General features: G+C 36.3%; 1 protein-coding gene across 5 annotated transcripts in view; it reads right to left on the bottom strand.

The window, feature by feature from the left end:
• Positions 1–21655, bottom strand: part of HOMER1 (homer scaffold protein 1) — a 141499-nt gene that overhangs the window by 69588 nt on the left and 50256 nt on the right. For 4 of the 5 annotated variants that reach the window (NM_004272.5, XM_047417894.1, NM_001277078.1 and 1 more), the window contains exons 2-4: positions 14639–14795; positions 8767–8898; positions 4830–4922 (exon numbers count right to left, since the gene is read on the bottom strand). In NM_004272.5, coding sequence (NP_004263.1) covers positions 4830–4922; positions 8767–8898; positions 14639–14795 — 382 coding nt within the window. The remainder of the gene's footprint in view (positions 1–4829; positions 4923–8766; positions 8899–14638; positions 14796–21655) is intronic. The other variant, NM_001277077.1, reaches the window with a different exon arrangement.

Below are 21655 nucleotides of genomic sequence, written 5' to 3' on the forward strand. Positions count from 1 at the left end.
AGAGAGTATCAAGGAAATCAAAACTAACAGATGCAACCTATTATAAAAAAGGCACCTGAGCACAGATGTGAGATTCAGGAAATGCTTCTTAAGAATTCTCTCTTCCTACCCATTTGTGAAGTGGGTAACTTAAGTGAAAATTAAAATAAAACCCACAACTGAAATTTTGGCTATGAAAGCCAAAAAATGAGAAATATTCTAGAACACATGGAAAAAAGTTGACCTTGACCCTCACTCTAGGACAAGCCTTTAGGGTGGTTTCAGTGACCTACTGTGTATTGGAAGGATGGGCTGGGGAGGTACGCAGCAGCACTGCCATGACCCACTATACCAAATACCACTACCACCTTCCATTTCATGCCAATAAAACCTGAAATTAAATTCCCATTACAGTTTCAACCTTGTTGGCTTAAGGAAAACAAGGCCCTCTCTTTACCATTTAACAAACATTCATGGAAGACTCAGTCCATTCCAGTTTTATACTTAAACAAAGATGAGAACACCACTGTTTTCTCAGCAGAGGGCCTGACAGAAAAACTGGGGAGGAGCTAATAGTCTTGAGATCCCATGGCAGTGAGAATGGAAAGAAGACAGCAAAACGATACATAAAGGAAGATGAGGTTGAGCTCTCAAACAAGATCCTCATATCCTCAGTCATACATTTTTCCTATAGTTAGTCACCATCCAGAGCCACCATTTCTGAAATCCATTTTGTGACAACCACAGAAGTTCTTATAATCTGACTTTCTGGATTAATTTATGCTCTTCCTTCGCTATGTAAAGTATATTGGCTGATTGATGCTTAGGGTTAGTGGGTTAATTGTTACTCTGCTTGAATATTTTGCAACCACCAGCTGCATCAAATGCTTACCAAGAGTCAGCTGTATGTGTCCCAAACCTGTTTATGCCAATTCTATTTATATAATTATAAAACTGAATTAAGTACTATGTAAACTACTGATTTTGAATGCAAAACTAGAGTGGTAATTTTAATGAAAGCCAGGCTAAATACTTTGAAATGACTAAAATGTAAATGGCTAAAAAATTAAAATAATACTCACAACTGAATTAGGCATATATAATATTCTACAATATAATATAATATCTAACATAGGAATAGCTTCAGCATCTCCTAGAAAACTTGTTAGAAATGCAAATCCTTGGGTTCCATCTTAGACCTACTAAATCAGACAGTCTGGGAGTGGAGCTCACCGATCTGAGTTTTAGCAAGTCTTTCAGGGAATTCTGATGCAGAATTCTGACGCATAGTATTTTTCAAATACATATTGTATAAATATACAATTAAGGCATCTGAATTTTTAAAGATAACTGTTAGTGCCAGACAGTATGTTAAGGCCTTACATCATCATCCTCCCCATTACAACCACATCAGTTGTTAACATTTATTAGGCATTTAGTACTATATGCTAAGTACTTTCTAATCCTCATTTAATTCTCACAATATTCCTATTAAGGACATATTGTTCTCATTCTCATTTTATAGAGGAAGAAAAACAGAGACTTGCCTAAGCTCAGAAAACTATTAAGGGTTGGAGCCCAGTTTCAAATTCAGATTCTAGAACTCCCATTATTAACCATGACCTGACACTGTGTCGTTACCATACTTATTGATGATGATCAATGATTCTATAAGTAATGTAATACTCATGTTATAAATGTATAAACACACTTGTGTTAAACAACCAAGTGTATTACATGGCAACAGAAAAGTAATTTATATCTAGGTTTGTCTGACTCAAACTTTTAACCAGTCTCTTACACCTCCCTCAAATAAAAACAAAAGCTTTGACCAACCAAGTTTCTACTACTATCGATTTTCGTGTTTAACCTATTATCAATTACCCCACTTAACCGTTCTTTTGCTAAATTCCAGAGTTACGTTACATTCTTCAGGCAGCATTAATTCAGCAGATTGGGTTAAACCACTGAGAATCAAGTAGGGTAGGTATGGCCAATGGTCATACAATTCAAACTAAAACAGACACATTAGATATTGTCACCCAGGCTGCAGTGCAGTGACGTGATTGTAGCTCACTGCAGCCTCAAACCCCTGGGCTCAAGCAGTCCTCCCACCTTAGCCTCATGAGTAGCTGGGACTATAGGTGCATACCATGCCTGGCTGATAAATGCTTTTTAAAAAATGATTCTCTCTGGCTTCTGTATATTAAATTGACAATTAGGCTTCAAATGTTTTGATAAGATAAATTAAGGTCCATATATTTTGGCTCTCAAATAGTGATGAACTTATTTCCTTATTCTTTATATTTCATAGTATTTTTCAAATATAAGCATCTTTTATATATTCCTTTAATCAAAGCAGAGGCTTAAAGTCATTCCTTCCACCAAAGAGGAACAAGGTGTTAGCAGCAACTTATAATGGTTCATGACCAATTCAACTAAAATGGAAGTTACGATTAGAGAAACGGGAACTAAGTACAATGGCAAAGCTTAATCCATCACACTTTTATTAAAATCCTTTGAGTACTCTTTTACTGAATGTGCTGTTTGTTGGATCTTCTTATAACACTGGAATCACTCACCAGAGGAACTAGAGCTCCCAATATGTATTGCCACTTAATTTTAAATGGGGTTTTATGTTTAAAAGTATCACTACACCTTCGCAGCACTTAGAGAAGACAGATTCAAGAGAAGTTTCAAATGATCATCAAAGTTATTCCAGGTCATTGCATGTACAGACGTATAATGGAGCTTTGGCTTCAATCCAGAGTACACCTTTAGTCTAAGGGAATATGCACTTTAAGCATATTTAACAGAGCTCTCCTTTATTCTTATTAAAAAAAAAATCAACTCTCTATACCAGTAGTTTTCCAAATAGAGCTGGGTGATAGAAGTGGAGAGGGAGATAAAGAATAAATAATTTTCTAAACTGTTCCAATCATTTGGTTAGTTATTAAATTCCAAGGCAATTCCTATTTTCTTCAAGAAAGTTCCATGTAAATCTGCTACTACTGACATTATTCCAGAGAAACATTTGTAACATCTGATTCTTCCTTTCCATAAAAGCTACTGAGTACAGTTCAGAAACAATTACTACAGAGGAGAACAGCCAAAAGCTGAATCCTACTAGTAGGATACAATTAAAATAAAAATTAATTTTAGAAAAGCCTACTATTAAAAAGCTGAAAATAGTGGCATTCTATATTAATCATACAGTAAAACCACTGTATTATAAAAGTACCAAAATGTAACTATTTAATCAACTTTACTTGGAGATATAACTTCCAACTGAAGGAAGATTATGATGGACAAGTAAAAGGTCCTTTGTTAAAAGAAAAAGTAATACTTTTGTAAAACCTATAACCATTGTCTCAGTGCTAAGCATAAAGATGTTCCAACTGTCAGATTTAAGTATACTTTAAAAGTATGTAAAACAGGCTGGGGCTGTGGCTAACGCCTGTAATCTCAGCATTTTGGGAGGCCAAGGCAGGCGGATCACTTGAGGCCAGGGAGACCAGCCTGGCCAACATGATAAAACACCACCACTAATAAAATGCAAAAATTAGCCAGGTGGGGTGGTGCACGCCTATAATCCCAGCTACTTGGGAGGCTGAGGCATGAGAATCACTTGAACCTGGGAGGCAGAGGTTGCAGCGACCCGAGATTGTGCCACTGCACTCCGGTCTGGGTGACAGAGCATGACTCTAGCTCAAAAATAAATAAATAAATAATAAAAGTATGTAAAACAAACCCTATTGTTTGTGCGTGTGTGCACGCACGTGCATGTATTTTAACTTTATGTATATTATGACATTCTGACATCTTTTAAAAAAATTTTCTGGCTGCAAAGAGACTGCTTCTCCCCTCTAGGGCTAGCTAATTCTTAAGGACAGCAAGAGCCCAGTCCAGAGCATGCCTCTGATATGCAAACTAGCCAATCCAGAGCCATACCTCCTCTATCTGATCCATACATCTGATCCAGGAGACAATATTCCTCTAACTTAATCCATCCCAGGGCCAGTTACCAGACAATGAGGGACCACCCCTACAGTTTAGAGCCCCCTGAAATTATTCAACCCAGCCAATCCTAAACTATTTCCCCTCCCCTGCTTTACCTTTCCAATGGAAATTCCAATAAAGCTCTACCTCGGCTTTCCCCTCACTCCTGCTTTCTGTCTCTTGACCACCTTAAGACTTTCCCTGTTTCTAGGACCAGCAAGTATAATAAACTTGTTTTCCTGAACTTTTCCTATGACTCCCCTTGTGGTTACATTTGACTATCACATGATCTTTATGTACTTTTGCTAAGTTACAAGCACATTAAATAATTTGAATTGAATTACTAAACTGAAATTTTGATTACAAATATTCTTGTAGGCATTGGCATATAGAAAAACCTTTTTCCACCAGTACAAATTAAGTAAAGGGTGCATTTCTCTCTCTCTCTTTTTCTTTTTGAGACAGGGTCTTGCTGTTGCCCAGGCTGGAGCACAGTGGCACAATTATAGCTCACTGCAGCCTCGACCTCCCAGTCAAGTGATCCTCCTACCTCAGCTTCCCAAGTAGCTGAGACCACAGGCTTGCACCACCACACTTGGCTAATTTTTTTTTTTTTTTTTTTTTTTTTAATTTGTAGAGATGAGGTCTCCCTATGTTGCTCAGGCTAGTCTTGAAATCCCGGGCTCAAGTAATCCTCCCACCTAAGCCTATCAAAGTCCTGGGATTACAGGTGTGAGCCACCACACTAAAGGGTGCATTTCTGTGTGTACTTTGGAGATTTAATTCTGGCATGAAGGATATTATCTGAAATGAACAAGGTTCATAATTAAGAATAGAAATGATATACCCACCTGTGAAGGTGTACTGGTAAGTTCCATCTTCTCTTGTGATTTTTCCTTTGCTAGTCGAGCAGCTTCTTTAAATTCCTGAAACTTTTCTGCAAACTGAATGTATAGAGACTACATACATTAACCAAATAAAAATAGGTCACAGTGCCCACTTTTACCTTAGTAAAGTTATTCATTTTCTGAATAACTGACTCTACACAAGCAATATAGCCTCCAAACCAATTATAGCTTCTAATATGAAAATGACAGGAAATGAAACCTAATTCCAAACAGTTGTCTGTGCACTATGAAGTATTTTGACAAATCTTATTCAAAACATCATGATATAGCTAAGTCAGACTTCAGAGTCAGCTAGCTTACCTAAAGGACTCCTGGTTGTTCAGAAATAATTTACTGAGACCAAGGTAGGGGAAAGAATCAGTAAACATAAGCGTACTGTGCTATGTTTATCATTGAGAAAACTGAATTTCACAAGTATCCACTTGTAAACATCACAGTATTTAGAAAATGCTTTTAAATTTTACTAAAATATAAACTCTCTTAATACACAATGCATTTTCAGTAATACAAATAGTAATATTTACTATTTTCACTAACTGACATAACTAAAAATTTATTTCCGAAGATTCCTAAATAGCTCATGTACAGCAGCAGAAAGGAATAATACTCAGTGGTCTTTAAGATGGATAACAATTTCAAAACAAAAATTATTGTACATGAAATGCTAATTCTTAGGAACTCATAGGAAACTATAAAACATCCTGGCCACAAAGAATATCTATTTATGTTTTGGAAGTGGAAGCTAGTCTATCACTATTATCAGTGAGAATAAGTTAAGACTACATAATAACTACATGTAAAAACCCCAAATCCCTATGCAACTTAAAATATCTGTTAGAGCTGGTAATTAAAACATGAAATTATAGTTCCTTTCTCAAACCCTCATAAACGAACTCTGATTTCATTTCCATCTTGGGAAGAAAAATTTTGGAAGGAAAGGCCTGTGATACTCTAATCCTGGCGAGATGGAGGAGGGTCAAAATTAAAGCCATCATTATCACAACTTTTCCTTCTTACCTTAAACCTTGTCACTTCTACCTATAATGTGTATCTGAGGAAAGTGAATTTGTGCTACTATACTTCTCCAATTGAACAGAGTATCTCCAAACAGTACAACATCTGAATACGAAGCTACAAGGGTCTCACTCACATTGGTGGAAATGAAATCAAAACAAAACTTCTCTTTATGTAATCTGAAATAGTATACAAGGTTTTTCTTACACTAATTTAACATTCCACAATAGTTAATCTTTAAAAGCCTTCTCAACTTCGTAAAAATCTACACTATTGCTAATTTGTATATCCTTAGTTTTCAGCAAAATAAAAAAGTGACAGCTTAGATTTCCCATAATAACAAAATACAGCTTAGTAAGCACTCTAACAATCCAAGCATAGCTGGAATTTTGCTCATACCATTCAATCTTAAGAGACCACACATTTTTTTTCAACGATGGTACTTTCCCTTATTTTGAGATGTCTTTGTCTAGAATTGCCTTCTCCAAACCCTTATAATGTTTTGACTTACTCATGGCTTTTAACTGATAAAACAAGCTAGAATGTTTATGTACTTGCTTTGTTTATGTAAAATATTATAAATGCCTTTGAGCCTCCTACAGTCTGCAAAACACCAAAATTAGTCTACAAGGTAGCCTGAAAAATAAATTATGATTTTGTCAGCTTTGGATCAAAACATTCTGAAGAGACTGATCTGAAGCTCTTGGAGCCAAGTTCTGTGAGTATATAAGCTAGAATTGGCTCCAAGAGCTTAAGAGCTGTTTCCCAATATTCAACCTACCCTCAAATACTAGATTTACCACCAGTAAGGCTGGTCAAAAGCATATGCTAACTTTAAAGAAGAAAAAAAATTAAAAAAAAAAAGCCATTCTCAGAGAAAAGTTCAAACAAGGGAAAAGAGTAGAACTGACAGAAGTTAATAAACTATTCCTTTACTACATTAGCTAGCTGCTCAGTAACTTGAAAGATGTAACGAAGAACTTAATTTACAGACAAAATTACTCAGCCCAAAAAGCATTTAAGGCAAGTTTGAGAAAATAATCCATGATTTAGTTCTTGTATTGTCAAGTTAAGAAATTCAGCAAGATATATTTATAGATTTTTGCTATAGTCTTTAATAGGCAATAAAAAAAAACACAAAGTTCTAAAAAGGTTCTGAATGATGGCAAAAGTATTAGAATAAACATATAATTTCTCAACAGAACTGTTTATGGAAGGGCAATGTTCAATGGAAACCTGTATCCTAGTTATGCTGAGATACTTTGAATGTAAAACTCTTATTTTACCACAGTTCAAGAAATACATTTAAAGAATAAGATGTGTACAAGAGAAACCAAAATGATATTTGTTTGTTGTTGTTGTTTTTTGAGACAGAGTCTTGCTCTGTCACCCAGGCTAGAGTGCAGTGTCGCAATCCTGGCTCACTGCAGCCTCTGCCTCCTGGGTTCAAATGACTCTCATGTCTCAGCCTCCCAAGTAGCTGGGATTACAGGTGTGTGCCACCACACCCAGCTAATTTTTTTGTATTTTTAGTAGAAACGGGGTTTTGCCATGTTGACTAGGCCGGTCTTGAACTCCTGGCCTCAAATGATCTGCCCTCCTTGGCCTCTCAAAGTGCTGGGATTAAAGGCATGAGCCACTGTGCCCAGCCTTAATATTTGTTTTAATCATCCTACAGAAAATGATTTATAATCACCAAGGCGAAAGTTAAAATACCCTTAAAATTGAGATTTAAACTATAATTCATATCCAAAAGATAACAAAAACACTTGAAAACAGTGTTAAGAAATGTTTATAATTAGAAGAAAATAAAATAGATTCAATATATATTCATAAAAGTGTAAGATTTCTAAAAAGAACCCAGTTTAAGAATTTGAATACAGAATAATTTCTGTAAAGAAAAACAGCTTAAAATTTAATGTAAATATAAACACTGTATATCTACAAGAGCCTGATTTCTCTGCACTTGGATAATTTCAACTCTCTAGCCTGAGTTCCAGTATCAGATCCTGCATATACCAAATCATATGTAAAGTATTTAAAATATATGGTTATTCTTTTAACTGAATGCTTCAAACAGAGGTTTTAAGAATAAATCTTTAGGTCTGGCAGGCACAAGCTCTGAAGAGAAAAGTGAGTTTTACTTTTCTCTTTGATCACTTAGTATACTGAGATTGTTTTTTCTTATATATTCTTTTCTGTGTAACATCCACAAGAACCCAAGGTGCTGCTGGTATAAACATTACATGGCTTTTGCTTATTGACAGGAGAACTGTCTTATTTCCAATATTTAGCCTGGTGATGCTTTGCATTTTATTGGCCTTTCTGGTCACATGGTGAGTATTATCTAAAAATTCCTCATGATGTCTATAGTATCTCAGTCTGCACTGCATCAGAGCTCGGAGTATTCCACATCCAGATAAAGCACAATTTCCCCTAAACACAGTAATTTATATGTACCTGCTGTCACATCAAAATGCTGAAATCTATATCACTGTCAGCTTGAGTTTTCACAATTCAAAAGAGCTTGGTATCTGCCTATCTTGTAGACCATCTCCAATTGAGGGTACTAATCTCTGACAAAAATCCATTCTGAAGTGATAATCCCCACCTTTTAATTCCTATCACACAGACAATTAACCACATAAATCCTTCTCAACCAATGGTGACTGTTTTTAATGTGTACATTTTCCAAGTGACAGCAGAATCTAATGATCTCTTACTTCTTGCTCTGAAGTCACTACTGCTGTTTCGAGAATATTAAATAAATTTCTCCTATATTTTATACTCTCCATTTGGTATTATATATTTAAGATATACGACTTGAAGATGAAGATTTTCATTCAAATTTTATGATTTAACTCACTTTCGAAAGATGATGCTCAGAGGAGAATCCCAATCCATAAACGGTGTTTGCCCGGCTATCAGCCCACTGGCCAAACTTCTGAGATGTTTTAGTAAATGTCATGTTTGGGGTGATGGTACTATTTATTATTGCCTAAAAAATAAAGCAAGTATGAGCAACCAGCAAAAAATCAGCAAACAGGCATTTAAATACAAGACCATTCAGTTACATAAAAGCTTAAGATTATCAATAAGCCACAACGTTAAATACATAAAGATAGTTACAGAAATAGTTTCTGGCATTATAAGTGATAGTGTGGAAATATGTTAACTAAAATATAAATATGATGACACTCTATCAAAAATTTCAACATTTTACACTCAAATAAGTTTACCTATGATCCAAAAAGTGTCAAAGAGTTTTTAATATGGTCAGTTTTTTCCTTTTGAATGTTTAGAATCAATATTTATTAATTTTGGATGATAATCACTAGAAGAAGGTAGGCCTTAATAGTGGTTTATTTAAAAGTAGGGTACCACCCTCCAAAGAATCTTTCAAAAATGAAAATATGCATAGAAAATATGACACTTTTTTTTTTTTTTTTTTTTTTTTTTTTAGATGGAGTCTTGCTCTGTCGCCCAGGCTGGAGTGCAGTGGCGTGATCTCGGCTAACTGCAAGCTCCAACTCCCGGGTTCACGCCATTCTCCTGCCTCAGCCTCCTGAGTAGCTGGGACTACAGGCGCCCACTACCACGCCCTACTAACTTTTTTGTATTTTTTTTAGTAGAGACGGGGTTTCACCATGTTAGCCAGGATGGTCTCGATCTCCTGATCTGCCCGCCTCGGCCTCCCAAAGTGCTGGGATTACAGGCGTGAGCCACTGCGCCCGGCCGACACTGATTTTCTAAAATCCATAATTGAGTTTTCTTCAAGCTGATTTACCTGAAATACATTATGATACAGAAAAGACTTGCAATCGTTTAGTACTTTTTCCCTTTACTCAAGGAAAAAACAAACCTCTAAATATAGAGGTGTTCCTTGCTAGACTTGGGAGATTGGTTCCGGGACCCCTATGTATACTAAAAACCTATGCATACTCAAGTCCCATAGTCAGCACTGCAGAACCTGCATATACGAGGTCAACTCTCTAATACTTGGTTTTCACATCCTACAAATACTGTATTTTTTGATCCACGTATAAGTGAACCTGCATAATTCAAACCAGTGTCATGAGTCAACTGCATACTCATTTCTTTTCTCATAAAGTGGTATAGATTCATGATATTGAGAATTGCTATCATTTTTGTTTCACACATAATTTCTTAGAAAACTAGTATTTTAGCATGTTACTAAATATTAACTTTGGTGATCACCATAATAAATTTCAATTATCATAAAATATTAACTCATTCTCTCTGCTAATACCATAAAAGTGAGGAATCATTTCTTTAGTCTAACGCACTCCAAATTTAAGATTAGAAAGTGATTCCAATAGTAATAGACAGATGTTAACAAATCCATAAGCAGTCATCTGCTGAACTCTTAAATGTGGAATGATACATCAAGCATTTTCTGAACTAAATTTGCTTACCATGTGAGCATTTTCTGAACAAAACTAAATTTGTTTACCATGTGAACAACAGTATAAAAGTAAATATTTAAGAGCTATGCAGGTATTGGAGAAGTCATAAAAATGAATGCATGACACCTGTCCTACTAAAAAAAAAACCAGTAAAACAGAGTGGTCCCTTCCTTTCTCTCAGACAGAAGATGTGTCCACTGTTATATGAGAGCCCTTATGCTCAATTAAGTGTTTTTACCTCAGACAAAATTTACATATTCATACTTATACAGTTTCCTTACCCTTCAGTTCAAAAACTGCTTTTCTTAGCATATCATTTGGGATGTGTAAAATGTGGCTAATAACTGCTCTAACTTGAATGGCATCAAATGAAGTCATCAAATGAAAGACTAAATAGGAAGGACTTTATCAACAAATGGTTAAGGAATCATTCGTTTATTCAACTTTAATTGAGTACCTTTTAAATGCCAAGCACAGTTCTAAAAATTTGAGCTACAACAATAAGAGGGGCAATATAATTGGAAATTACAGTCTAGAATAAAAGGAGTCAGTAAACATACAAGTAAATAAATAGCTGACCAATGTAATCTCAGACAGTAGTAAGTACTATAAAGACCAGGATGTGACAGAGTGAAACGCAAGAAATCAAGACTGGTAGGCACTGCCTTAGATTTGCTGGTCCTGAGGGGGCACATCTGAACTGGGATCTCTGTGTTTTCTGACAAGGGCATTTTATACGTGACCCTAATAACTCAAAAGTGAGTCAACAACAGGTTTTATAGGCATCTAAGAAAACTGACCAACGTGCTGGTAGTTGGTCACTAAGCCCCCTCATTTTAACTATTTCAAATTAACTTCTTTCCGCTTTTATGAGTTTTATTTTAATCTCCATTCTGAACCTTTCCCTTGTCTCTGTATTACTTGTTCTTTAATGAAGAAAACCTTAAAATGATAGATGATCCCACACTTTTAAAAAGCTTTATTTCTTAGCTTCTTTGAGTAGAATGCATTTAAAAGAAAAATTTTAGTTCTGAAAATAAATATGTCTCTCAACCCTGGAGTTCTAGTCCTTTTAAGGAAAAGAGGTAGAAATGCAGTGTCATTACTACCTCATGTATGGATCACACAGTGCCCTGATCCTGGCCCTTGACCATGCTGAGGTCTCTGTAGAATAATCAGAAAACCTTAAAGCAAACTTCATATGCACAGTAGAGGCACTAAGTGAGAACGAGTGCACATTTTCTAGGCAGGGCACCTAAGGGGTTTCCAACTCAATCATGAAGAGCAGAAGTCGGGGGTGAGATGGAGAAAACACTTGTTTAGCTGAGTCAAATAAACCACTATTGCTGACTTAAAAAAACAACCACTCCTGTAGGAACTGCAGCAGTTAATAGCATCAGTTTAGAAAAGTAATTAGAAAATGGAAAATGTGATAGAAAATATAACTCTGCTACAGAAGATAGATTTTGTTAAAAAAATACAAAAAGCTTTTCCAAAGTCATTTATGATTCTAATAATTACAATCAGCAACGTATATTCAGAAATGGAAAAATGCAAGAGCAACATTTCATATTGCTTCAGTGGGAAGAACACATGAGGATTATGTGTTAATCACTAAAATTCCTTCCTTTAAAATAACTCAAAGTATTTTAATCTGGTGAAAATTAAGTTAGCAAATGAAATCTATTTAATCACTTCCATATGGTTTCTTTTCTCCGACATGGGACTATTCAGTTGACCTTTTTTTGTATACAACATTTAACTCTCCTTTCTAATAAAGGAGGATTGTTATCTTTTTCTGTTACCTCTGTTAACCCTCCTTTCTAATAAAGGAGGCACGTTATCTGTCGTTTGGGCCCAGAAACAAAACAGATTACAGAGAATTCAAGGTTCAAATAAGGGAAAAGAAATAAACACTCTAGAGTCTCAGGTTATAATATCTAGTATCTGTCAAACTTCACTAAATCAGTTACAAAATATGACAAAATTATTCTTCACTAAATAAAGCTTCACGGAAATGAACTATTTCTATTTCTCAAGTCCTTTAAATCCTCCAAGTAAAAATGAAAAAGTCAATTATTCAAGTAAATACATATTAGTTACTTATGTACAAGACACAAAGTGCAAATAGCGCTTAGGGTCTTATCATCTAGTTAACCTAGTTAAGGAGATAAGGAATGAGTACACAGAAAAAACAGACAAAAAGTTTAGCATTAAATTATCTTTTATTCCCCATAAAACACTAGGCAATAATCGCCTGATAATAGTATTAACAACAATAGCAGTGAGTGTTTGTATAGTGATTACTATATACACTGTGCTTTTGCCTAAATTTACTTACTTTTCACAACAACCCTATGGTGGAATGATGTAGGTATTTTTATTCATTCCTTTTTACAGATGAGAAAACTGAGGCATACAGTTTTTTTTTCCCCTTAAGAGACAGGGTCTCGCTCTGGATATAATCATAGCTCACTGCAGCTTTGACCTCCTTAGCTCCAGCCCCAGTCTCCTGAGTAGCTAGGACTACAGGCATGCACCAATACACCTAGCTAATTTTTTTTTTTTTTGAGATGGGAACTCACTGTGTTACCCAGGCTGGTCTCAAACTCCTGGTCTCAAGTGATCCTCATGCCTCGGCCTCCCAAAGTGCTAGAATTACAGGCACAAACCTCAGTGCCCAGCCCTGCATGCAGAAGCTAAATACTTTGCTCAAGATCAGATGGTGATATGGTTTGGCTCTGTGTCCCCATCCAAATCTCACCTTGAATTGTAATCCCCATGTGTCAAGGGTGGAACCCGGTGGAGGTAATTGAATCATGGGGGGCAGTTTCCCCAATGCTGTTCTTGTGATAGTGACTCTCACGAGATCTGATGGTTTTATACGCATCTGGCATTTCCCCTGCTTGCTCTCACTCTCTCTCCTGCCGCCCTGTGAAGACGTACCTTCTGCCACGATTGTAAGTTTCCTGAGGCTTCCCCAGCCATGTGGAACTGTGAGTCAAGTAAACCTCTTTCCTTTATAAATTACCCAGTCTCAGGTATTTCTTCATAGAAGTATGAGAATGGACTAATATAGATGGCAAGCAGGTAGTAGAAACAAAAATTCAAACCAGTCAGTCTGGCTCTACAGTGTGTGCACTTAACCCCTTCTTCATTTAATTGCTAAAATTCCTGAAAGTGGAAAGGCTTCATGGCTTTAAGAAACTGAAGACCTCATCTTTCTACACACTTCAAACCTAGAATCTTAGAGTCTGATTTTTCTTTGGAATTTCTTTCTCTAAGTGAGTTCCATGAAGTTCATTGATGATTAAAGGATCCCCCGTCCCAGCGCGGTAGCTCATGCCTGTAATCCCAGCACTTTGGGAGGCTGAGGCAGACAGATCGAGAGGTCAGGAGTTCAAGACCAGCCTGGCCAACATGGTGAAACCCTGTCTCTACTAAAAATACAAAAATTATCCAGGCATGGAGGCGCACGCCTGTAATACCAGCTACTGGGGAGGCTGAGGCAAGAAAATCACTTGAACCCAGGAGGCAGAGGTTGCAGTGAGCTGAGCTGTACTCCAGGCTGGGTGACAGAGCAAGACTCCGTCTCAAAAAAAAAAAAAAAAAAGGGATCCCCAACCAACTCTTCTGAAGGGCACACTGTCCTCTAAGCACTGATTTCAGTGCTTTGCAGATATTAACTCATTTAATCCTTACAACCACCAGTACTGAGTTGAGAACAATGAGGCTCAGAGAAGTAATCTGCCCAAAGAGAAAACACTCAGTAGATGGTGGAGTTGAGATCTGAACCCAGGCAGTCCTTGCTCCTGTTACACTAATTGCCTCTCCTAAAAATAAAATAGGTTTTGTCCTTATACTTCTCTTGAGAGAAGAAATGTCAGCTTTAGTATTGACACTGACAAACTTCATAGGATATAGGGACTTTAAACTGCTACTAGTCTGTAGCAGTATATTTGAAAAGAATTAGAGCTCCTAGAATTCTAGACCATATCTATTCTGTCCACCACTATATTCCTAGTACCTGGCATAATGCCTGACACATAACAGATATGCAATGAACATTAAATAAATGGAATGACCTCAAATTTGTAGAATATTTTGGCATGTAACAATGTAATAAAGTGGTTAGTCATTTAGTGGACAAAACATGTTGCTACCTTAATAATCCATTTTGTTTCTTAAAAGTTTTAAGAACTCAAAAGGAAACATTTTATATTAATGAAGATAAAATGTTCTGAATAGAACTAAAATGTCATACTGAAAAAAGCAAAACCAGCCAAATCATTCAAAGTAAACGTAGCTTACCTTTGAGCCATCTAAACTGATTATCCTATACACATTTCTTGTGCTGTCATAGAAATAAGACACAGTAACTGCATGCTTGCTGGTGGGTACCCAGTTCTTCTTTGTGTTTGGGTCAATTTGGAAGACATGAGCTCGAGTGCTGAAGATAGGTTGTTCCCTGCAGGGCAGAAAAGAAAATGATGGACTGAAAGCAGCCAGTTTTATTTCACTAGACAAGAGAACATGAAAACTGCAAGGATGATTCTGCTTAATCAACAATTTCCACATACCTGAAAGTAAGAGAAACTTTCAAATTTGCATATTCTAAGTATTCAGTCATAAGGTTTCTAAAAACAATTATAGTCAATCCTCATTATTTGAAGAGTCTGTACATGTGAATTCACCTACTCACTAAAATTTATCTGTAACCGCCAAATCAATAGTGTGGCACATTCTTAGTCTTTCACAGACACACACAGGGCAGTGCAAAACCATGCATCACCTGACATGGCACATTTCCATCTGAAACTGAACAAAGTGACAATGCCTTCTTGTTTCAGTTCTCATACTACATTTACAAGTGTCCTTTTTATGGTCTATTTAGCACCATGTTTTACACATTTCACACTTTGTTGGTGCTTTTACTGTGTAAAATGGCCCATAAGCATCATGCTGAAGTGTTCCCAGATGCTAGCTGTTCCTAGGTGCAAGAAGGCTGTGATGTGGAGAAAATATGTGTTAGATAAGTTTCACTGAGGCATGAGTTACAGTGCTGTTGGCCATCAGTTCAATGTTAATGCATTAACAATATATATTAAGCAAGGTGTCTTTAAGTAGAAACACACATAAAACATAGTTATGTATTGATTAGTTGATGAAAATGTCGTGAGCAGAGGATGGTAGGAACATGACACAGTATTTTTCCCTAAGAGCAATGGTTCAGTACAGTATTTGCTAACTTAGTGTTGCTGGCACCTTCATGGAAGATGTGAATAATGAGAATAAACTATGCTCTGCTAAAATACAAGTATCTTATATTTGACTCTTACAAAGTTAATATTTTTACCCACTTAAAACCACATTTAAAACCCATTTAAACACATTTTACCCATTTAAAACCCAGAATAATCTGGGAATAGGTAAAGAACTTACTGGGAAAACATACATTCACTATAATCGCTACTATACTTAAAAGTCTATGGAAAACAAAGTTGCTGAAACCACAAATATCTCTTACTTAGATCAAGCAGGGCCTTAAAGATATAGATTTTTAAAATTACAAAGAACCAAAACTAATAAAAAATACTTGTTTAAAATATCATTACAGAATTCTTTACAGTATGAACAACAGGCATAAGATGATCTATATATAATAGAAGCATCGTAATTCAAAAATTTCCAAGTTCTGAGTAAAAATTATCTTGGAAGCAGCATTTATCAAGCTTGTTTTTTTAAGAGCCCAAATAAAACTCATTTATTTCATTTCACTGCACATCTTTCTTTTCTAAAGCAGTTCAATGTCATAAAGAAAATTTTAATTGGTAATATTTAATATTAAGTAAATTAATTTTAAAATTATGAAGAATTTTAAAATTTCTAAAATTTTAAATTTGAAGAAAGGAAGAGTAAATATGGAGAGGAGAAAAATTAGAAAAACGGCAAGGCAAATCTGAGTCCACGGCAAAATGGCTCTTAAGGTTAATAAAAGGTTGGGTGACTCCTATATCCATTTCAACCCTTAGAGAGTTGGTGTGAAAGTGAGGTACCTTCCCTGTAGGTAACCTGGCACTTTCCTAGTTTTATTTCTGGAAACCTCCTATACAACTTTTCTTATTAAAGAATCTCTCTTAAAAGAAAGTGATATATTTTGTGCCACTCCCTAAAAAATGAAGTGGAGCCATTACTTCTTGTTTAACTGCCACTATATATGGATTCATTTAATAATTATTAACAATCTGGCAAAACACTGTACCAGGATGATGAACTCTGAATTGGGAATACGTCTTATTCATTCCCTCTTTCCCCATCCTCAACCATTGACTTTCAGTGAGGCTGGTGCTATAAGCTTGGGTTATCTTCCAAAACCCCTGCAACCCCTATTTTTCTTTTTTCACCTTCTAATTAAAGTCTGAGGTAAAAGTATTGTTGGTCAGGCTGGGAGTGGCTAGTTACAAGTCACAGGGACATCTAATCATACACAACTCTATTAAGGCACATAAGGAAGGGAGGTAAGACACTATTCTTTACTAACTCGATTACTTGATTTTTTTGTTGTTTTCATTTGGTAGGGGTTAAGTTTCCTAAATTCACCTAAATAACACAAGTTGGTGATTATAAGAATGTGTTCTAATAAACATCTTTTCTAAAATAGTAAATTAGTTATTAAGATAATAACGTTGCTTTTGCAAGCTTTCTACAACCAATCAACAAATCCTTACTCAATGGAAATGCAATGTTTTCAGTACGGTAAAGACTTTCTACATCATATTGAGTCATACATTTAATTAATCCACACAATTTAATTCCTTTCAGAATAAAAATCTTTAAGCTAGCTATTGTATAAGCAAATGCCATTTGAATATCAACTAAATACATAGCTTTCTTTAATTCTCTTCTGAACAGCTGGTTTTTTTAAAGAAAATTATAGTTTAAGATTTCTGTGGTCAAAAGCCTGTACTTCAAAGTCTATATGATAAAGACTAGGGAAATAATTTTCACTACAGATCCAGGGAACAGAATTCCTAGAAGTAATGAGGATGTTACTGCATCTGACAGGGCATACTAATAAATGATTCAAACTTTTATTGAATATCTATTATATGCCAAGATGTAGGATCCAGATGGTCCCTGCCCTTGAAAAATTCAATTTGGTGACAAAAGATGGATATGTTAAAAACAAAATGCTCTTCACTACGATAGATTCTCTAAAAATAAGTAACTGACAGCTATGATAGAAAACAGATGCCTAAATAGAGTTTGAAACAAACTGTTGCACAGTGGGAGGAGGGCTAAGTACATTGTGTAGCAAGAACCTTAGTACAGGTAAGTTTGAGTGCCTTTGAAGAATGAGGCTAGAATGAAAAAATAGAGAATGAAAAAAGAGAGAAGACAGTTCATGAGGGTGTCTACTGAAAGCTATTGAGAGATTATAAACACGAAATAGTTTTGCTTTTTTCTTTCTTTCTTTCTTTTCTTTAACAGATAGGTTCTCACTATATTGCCCAGGCTGGTCTTGAAGTCTTGGCCTCAAGCAATCCTCCCACCTCAGCTTCCCGAGTTGCTAGGATTACAGGAGTAAGCCACCTAGCTCAGCTCCAGCTTTGCATTTTAGAAAGATAAATCTGGGCCACGTGTGGTGGCTCACACCTGTAATCCCAGTGCTTTGGGAGGCCAAGCTGGGCTGATCACTTGAGCTCACAAGTTCGAGACCAGCTTAGGCAACATGACAAAACCAAAATTAGTCTGGCGTGGTGGTGCACACCTGTAGTCCCAGCTACTTGGGAGGCTGGGGTGGGAGGCAGAGGTTGCAGTAAGCCAAGATCATGCCACTGCACTCCAATTTGGGTGACAGAGCCAGACCTTCTCATATACATGCACAAAATTTGGCAGCAATAAAAAGGAGGTGGGTTGGAGAGAAATACTGGACACAGGGAGACTAGTCAGAACCTTACTAAAGAATCGCAAATATTAACAAAGAGGATAGGAGTTTAGGGAACAGGATGAAGATGTGATAAAGGATTAAAGGTAAATTTAGGAAGCAGTATCAGCAGATAAGTAATAGATTGGATATAGGGCAGTGGTTCCCAAACTGGGGTGGGTTTGTTCCTCGGGACATTTCACAATGTCTGGACACAGTTTTGGCTGTCACAATGAGGGAAACTGCTATTGGCATCTAGTGGGTAGCATCCAGGAACGCCGCTAAACATCTACAATGCACAAGATAGCTTTCCGCAACAAAAAATTTTCCAGCTCAAAATGTTCATTGTGCCAAGGTTGAGAACTCCTGATGTATAAGACAAAGAAGGAATCTGAGTCTCCTGGGTTTCTACTTTGGGTAACTGAAAAGAAGACAGTCCCACTAGCAAGGATGGGCCACAGAAAGTAAAGTCTAAGATTGGGGAAGTGGAAGGGGAAGATGAAGTCAGTTTTGAAGGAGTTCAGATGCCTACAGGGTTTGGATGTAGAACTCTTGGGCCAGGAACTTAAAAACACTTGTTTGGAGCTCAGAGAAAACCAGGCTGGCATGCAGAGTTTGGGGAATCACCAGATTTTATGATGGGTATGTTTCAATACTAAGCATGTCCGTAATTTCCATTTAGAAAAAAGCTGTAGAAGAGGCAGTAGAGAAGCTATATCTAAAATCTTTAAGAGATTTACATATAACTGAACTCTTAAAAAGCTATCTTAAAAATCTAGCTCTTAATCTCTTAAAAAGACCTGTAATACATTTGAAATTGATTGTTCAAGTGTCCAGGTATCAAAGTTAATATCTTTTCATAAACTGTATAAAACTCATAAATAAAGGTTAGACACTGCTTTCTTTACAACAATTCACACAAATACTAACTGGATCAAACACCAGCATTTCCCGAAGTGTGTTTATATTGAACAACAGTCTGAGAAATGAATGGTCCATGTTCAAACAAGTTTCGCAAACACTGTGTTATATTCTAAAATATTTATAACGTACATTAGCATGTTAAAGGTTCTGAGAAGTTCTGCGGTAAAGAAACCAATCTAACACCAAATAATCCAGCATCTGGCAGATTATTTGACCTCAGAACTCTTTCATGTAATATATTTACATCTCCTAGGATTTATATTTATGGCTATGAGAATCAAAAGACAAATTCTGAGGTAAATATCTCACTGAAAGTTGGTCTGGATAGCTTACCATCTTTACTGATATTACTAATTATATTTATAATATAAAATTCAAGCCTTATTCAGTAACGACTACAGTATTATTTCTTAAACGGGTACTTGTTAAGAACACTCAAAGTAACTCTTCTAAGAAACTAAAAATTACTCTTTAAAAATTGCTCTAAAAATCAATTTTAAAGACAAATAGATCCATGCCGGGCGCAGTGGCTCACGCCTGTAATCCCAGCACTTTGGGAGGCCCAGGTGGGTTCATCACTTGAGGTCAGGAGTTTGAGACCAGCCTGGGCAACATGGTAAAACCCCATCTCTACTAAAAATACAAAAATGAGCCAGGCACGGTGTCGCATGCCTATAATCCCAGCTACTCAGGAGGCTGCGGCAGGAGAATCACTTGAACCCAGGAGACGGAGGTTGCAGTGAGCCAAGATCACGCCACTGCACCCCCAGCCTGGGCGACAGAGCGAGACTCCATCTCAAAAACAAACAAACAAACAAAAAAACCAGAAAACACACACACTTTAATCATAGAGCACTATCTATTCGGTAACTTCTTACATGAATAACCAGAACAGTAAGTAATTCAAACTACTTTACTGACATAAGAAAAGCTTACTGGAGTATTTTTCTGTTGATTCATAAACGAATTCTAGGAAATTGGTGTAACAATAATTCTCAAGTTCTTCATCTTGAGCTACAATTCTTTAAAAGTACTACATACAGTGATGGATGCTAAAACTTACTATGGATGTGGAAAACTGGAAGAATGTTAAGATAACCCTGAGAAAAAAGTAATAAAATCAGAATTTTATTTTAAAAACAAGACTTACTCAAACTCACTAGAGCTGACATAAAGAATTACTACATTTAGCTCTCAGGCATCTGCGTAATAAGAAAGAAACGAGGATCATAAAAAAACTAGAGCAAAACAAAAAACTATTTTCCAGGAGATACATAAGTTTTGGTCTAGAAAAAAAGCAGACAGTTAACATTCATCACTTGGATAGCTCTGATTTTTAAAAATCAATGATGATGCTGTTTTACAGTTACCAATGAAGTCTATACTTTCAAAAATATTATATGATTAACCAGTAAATCTTCATCCCAAGAGAGTGCAAAGGCATAGGTCCAATAAATACAATCAAACTCAAGGAAAGGAAGAGAAATTGTACATTTCCTGGTATACCTTTAATGCCTAGCTTAGAAGTATCCTTTTCAGATATGTAAGTACAAATGGCTACTGCAGCAAAGGAGATTATAAAGAAGGTTATGGTTTCAAATAATTTCCTTTCTTTTTAATTTTCCAAAAGAAAGTAGCCTGAAAGTATTCTAAGTATTCTAAGAAGTATTAGAAATAAGGCTGGTAATATTTTCCACTGAGGATTTGACTCTGCTGCAGACCCTGTTCGCTGACTATCTACCAACTGTTCTTCCTTGCTGCTCCCCAACAAACCTCAGATACTCTACCCTCTTCCATATGACTGTGAGCTTCGCTAAGGATAATCATGGCAATCCCATTCTTGCCAGAAGTTGGGTTAGGAATGGACCTCTGAAACAATTCCAAGAAATAACCAAGAAAAGTTTGCTAGAAACTTCTAGGTACACTCACAGACAGTACACATGTAAGAAGGAATATTCTCTGAAACGGTATGTTTGCATGTGACATCAGGACCTAAAGAAACCCTTAGTGCTGTGAGGGGCGCATACCTGAGACCAAAGCCAACATTCTCTGTCGATAATAGCATACGGAAAAACAAAGACTCTGGTTCCTTGATGATGTCACTGGACCAACAAATCACCTTATCTCCAGGCTTCTATATGATAATACGTTTGCTAATTGTTTCAAACAGTTGTCATTTAAAAAACTATGCAAATGAAAACTGAGGAAAGAGGCTTACTTACAATAAACTCTGCACTAACATGCCCCCCCAATACTGTAATTGGTGGCAGTTCAGAACTATACAAGCTACACACTGGTCATTCATTCACTTCATAACACCACCCCACAGTATACACAATTTGATTTTGGGGTCCCCATTTAAAATTGTAGAACCAACAGAGCAATTTATAAGAATAACTGCATTGAGATGGGTGGGAAGAGGAAGAAATGGAAAGGTAAATGTGGAACTGGCAAAAATTCACCACTAGTTGACTTTC

The sequence above is a fragment of the Homo sapiens genome, chromosome 5 (assembly GCF_000001405.40).
Source record: "Homo sapiens chromosome 5, GRCh38.p14 Primary Assembly".
NCBI classification, from domain to species: Eukaryota; Metazoa; Chordata; class Mammalia; order Primates; family Hominidae; genus Homo; species Homo sapiens.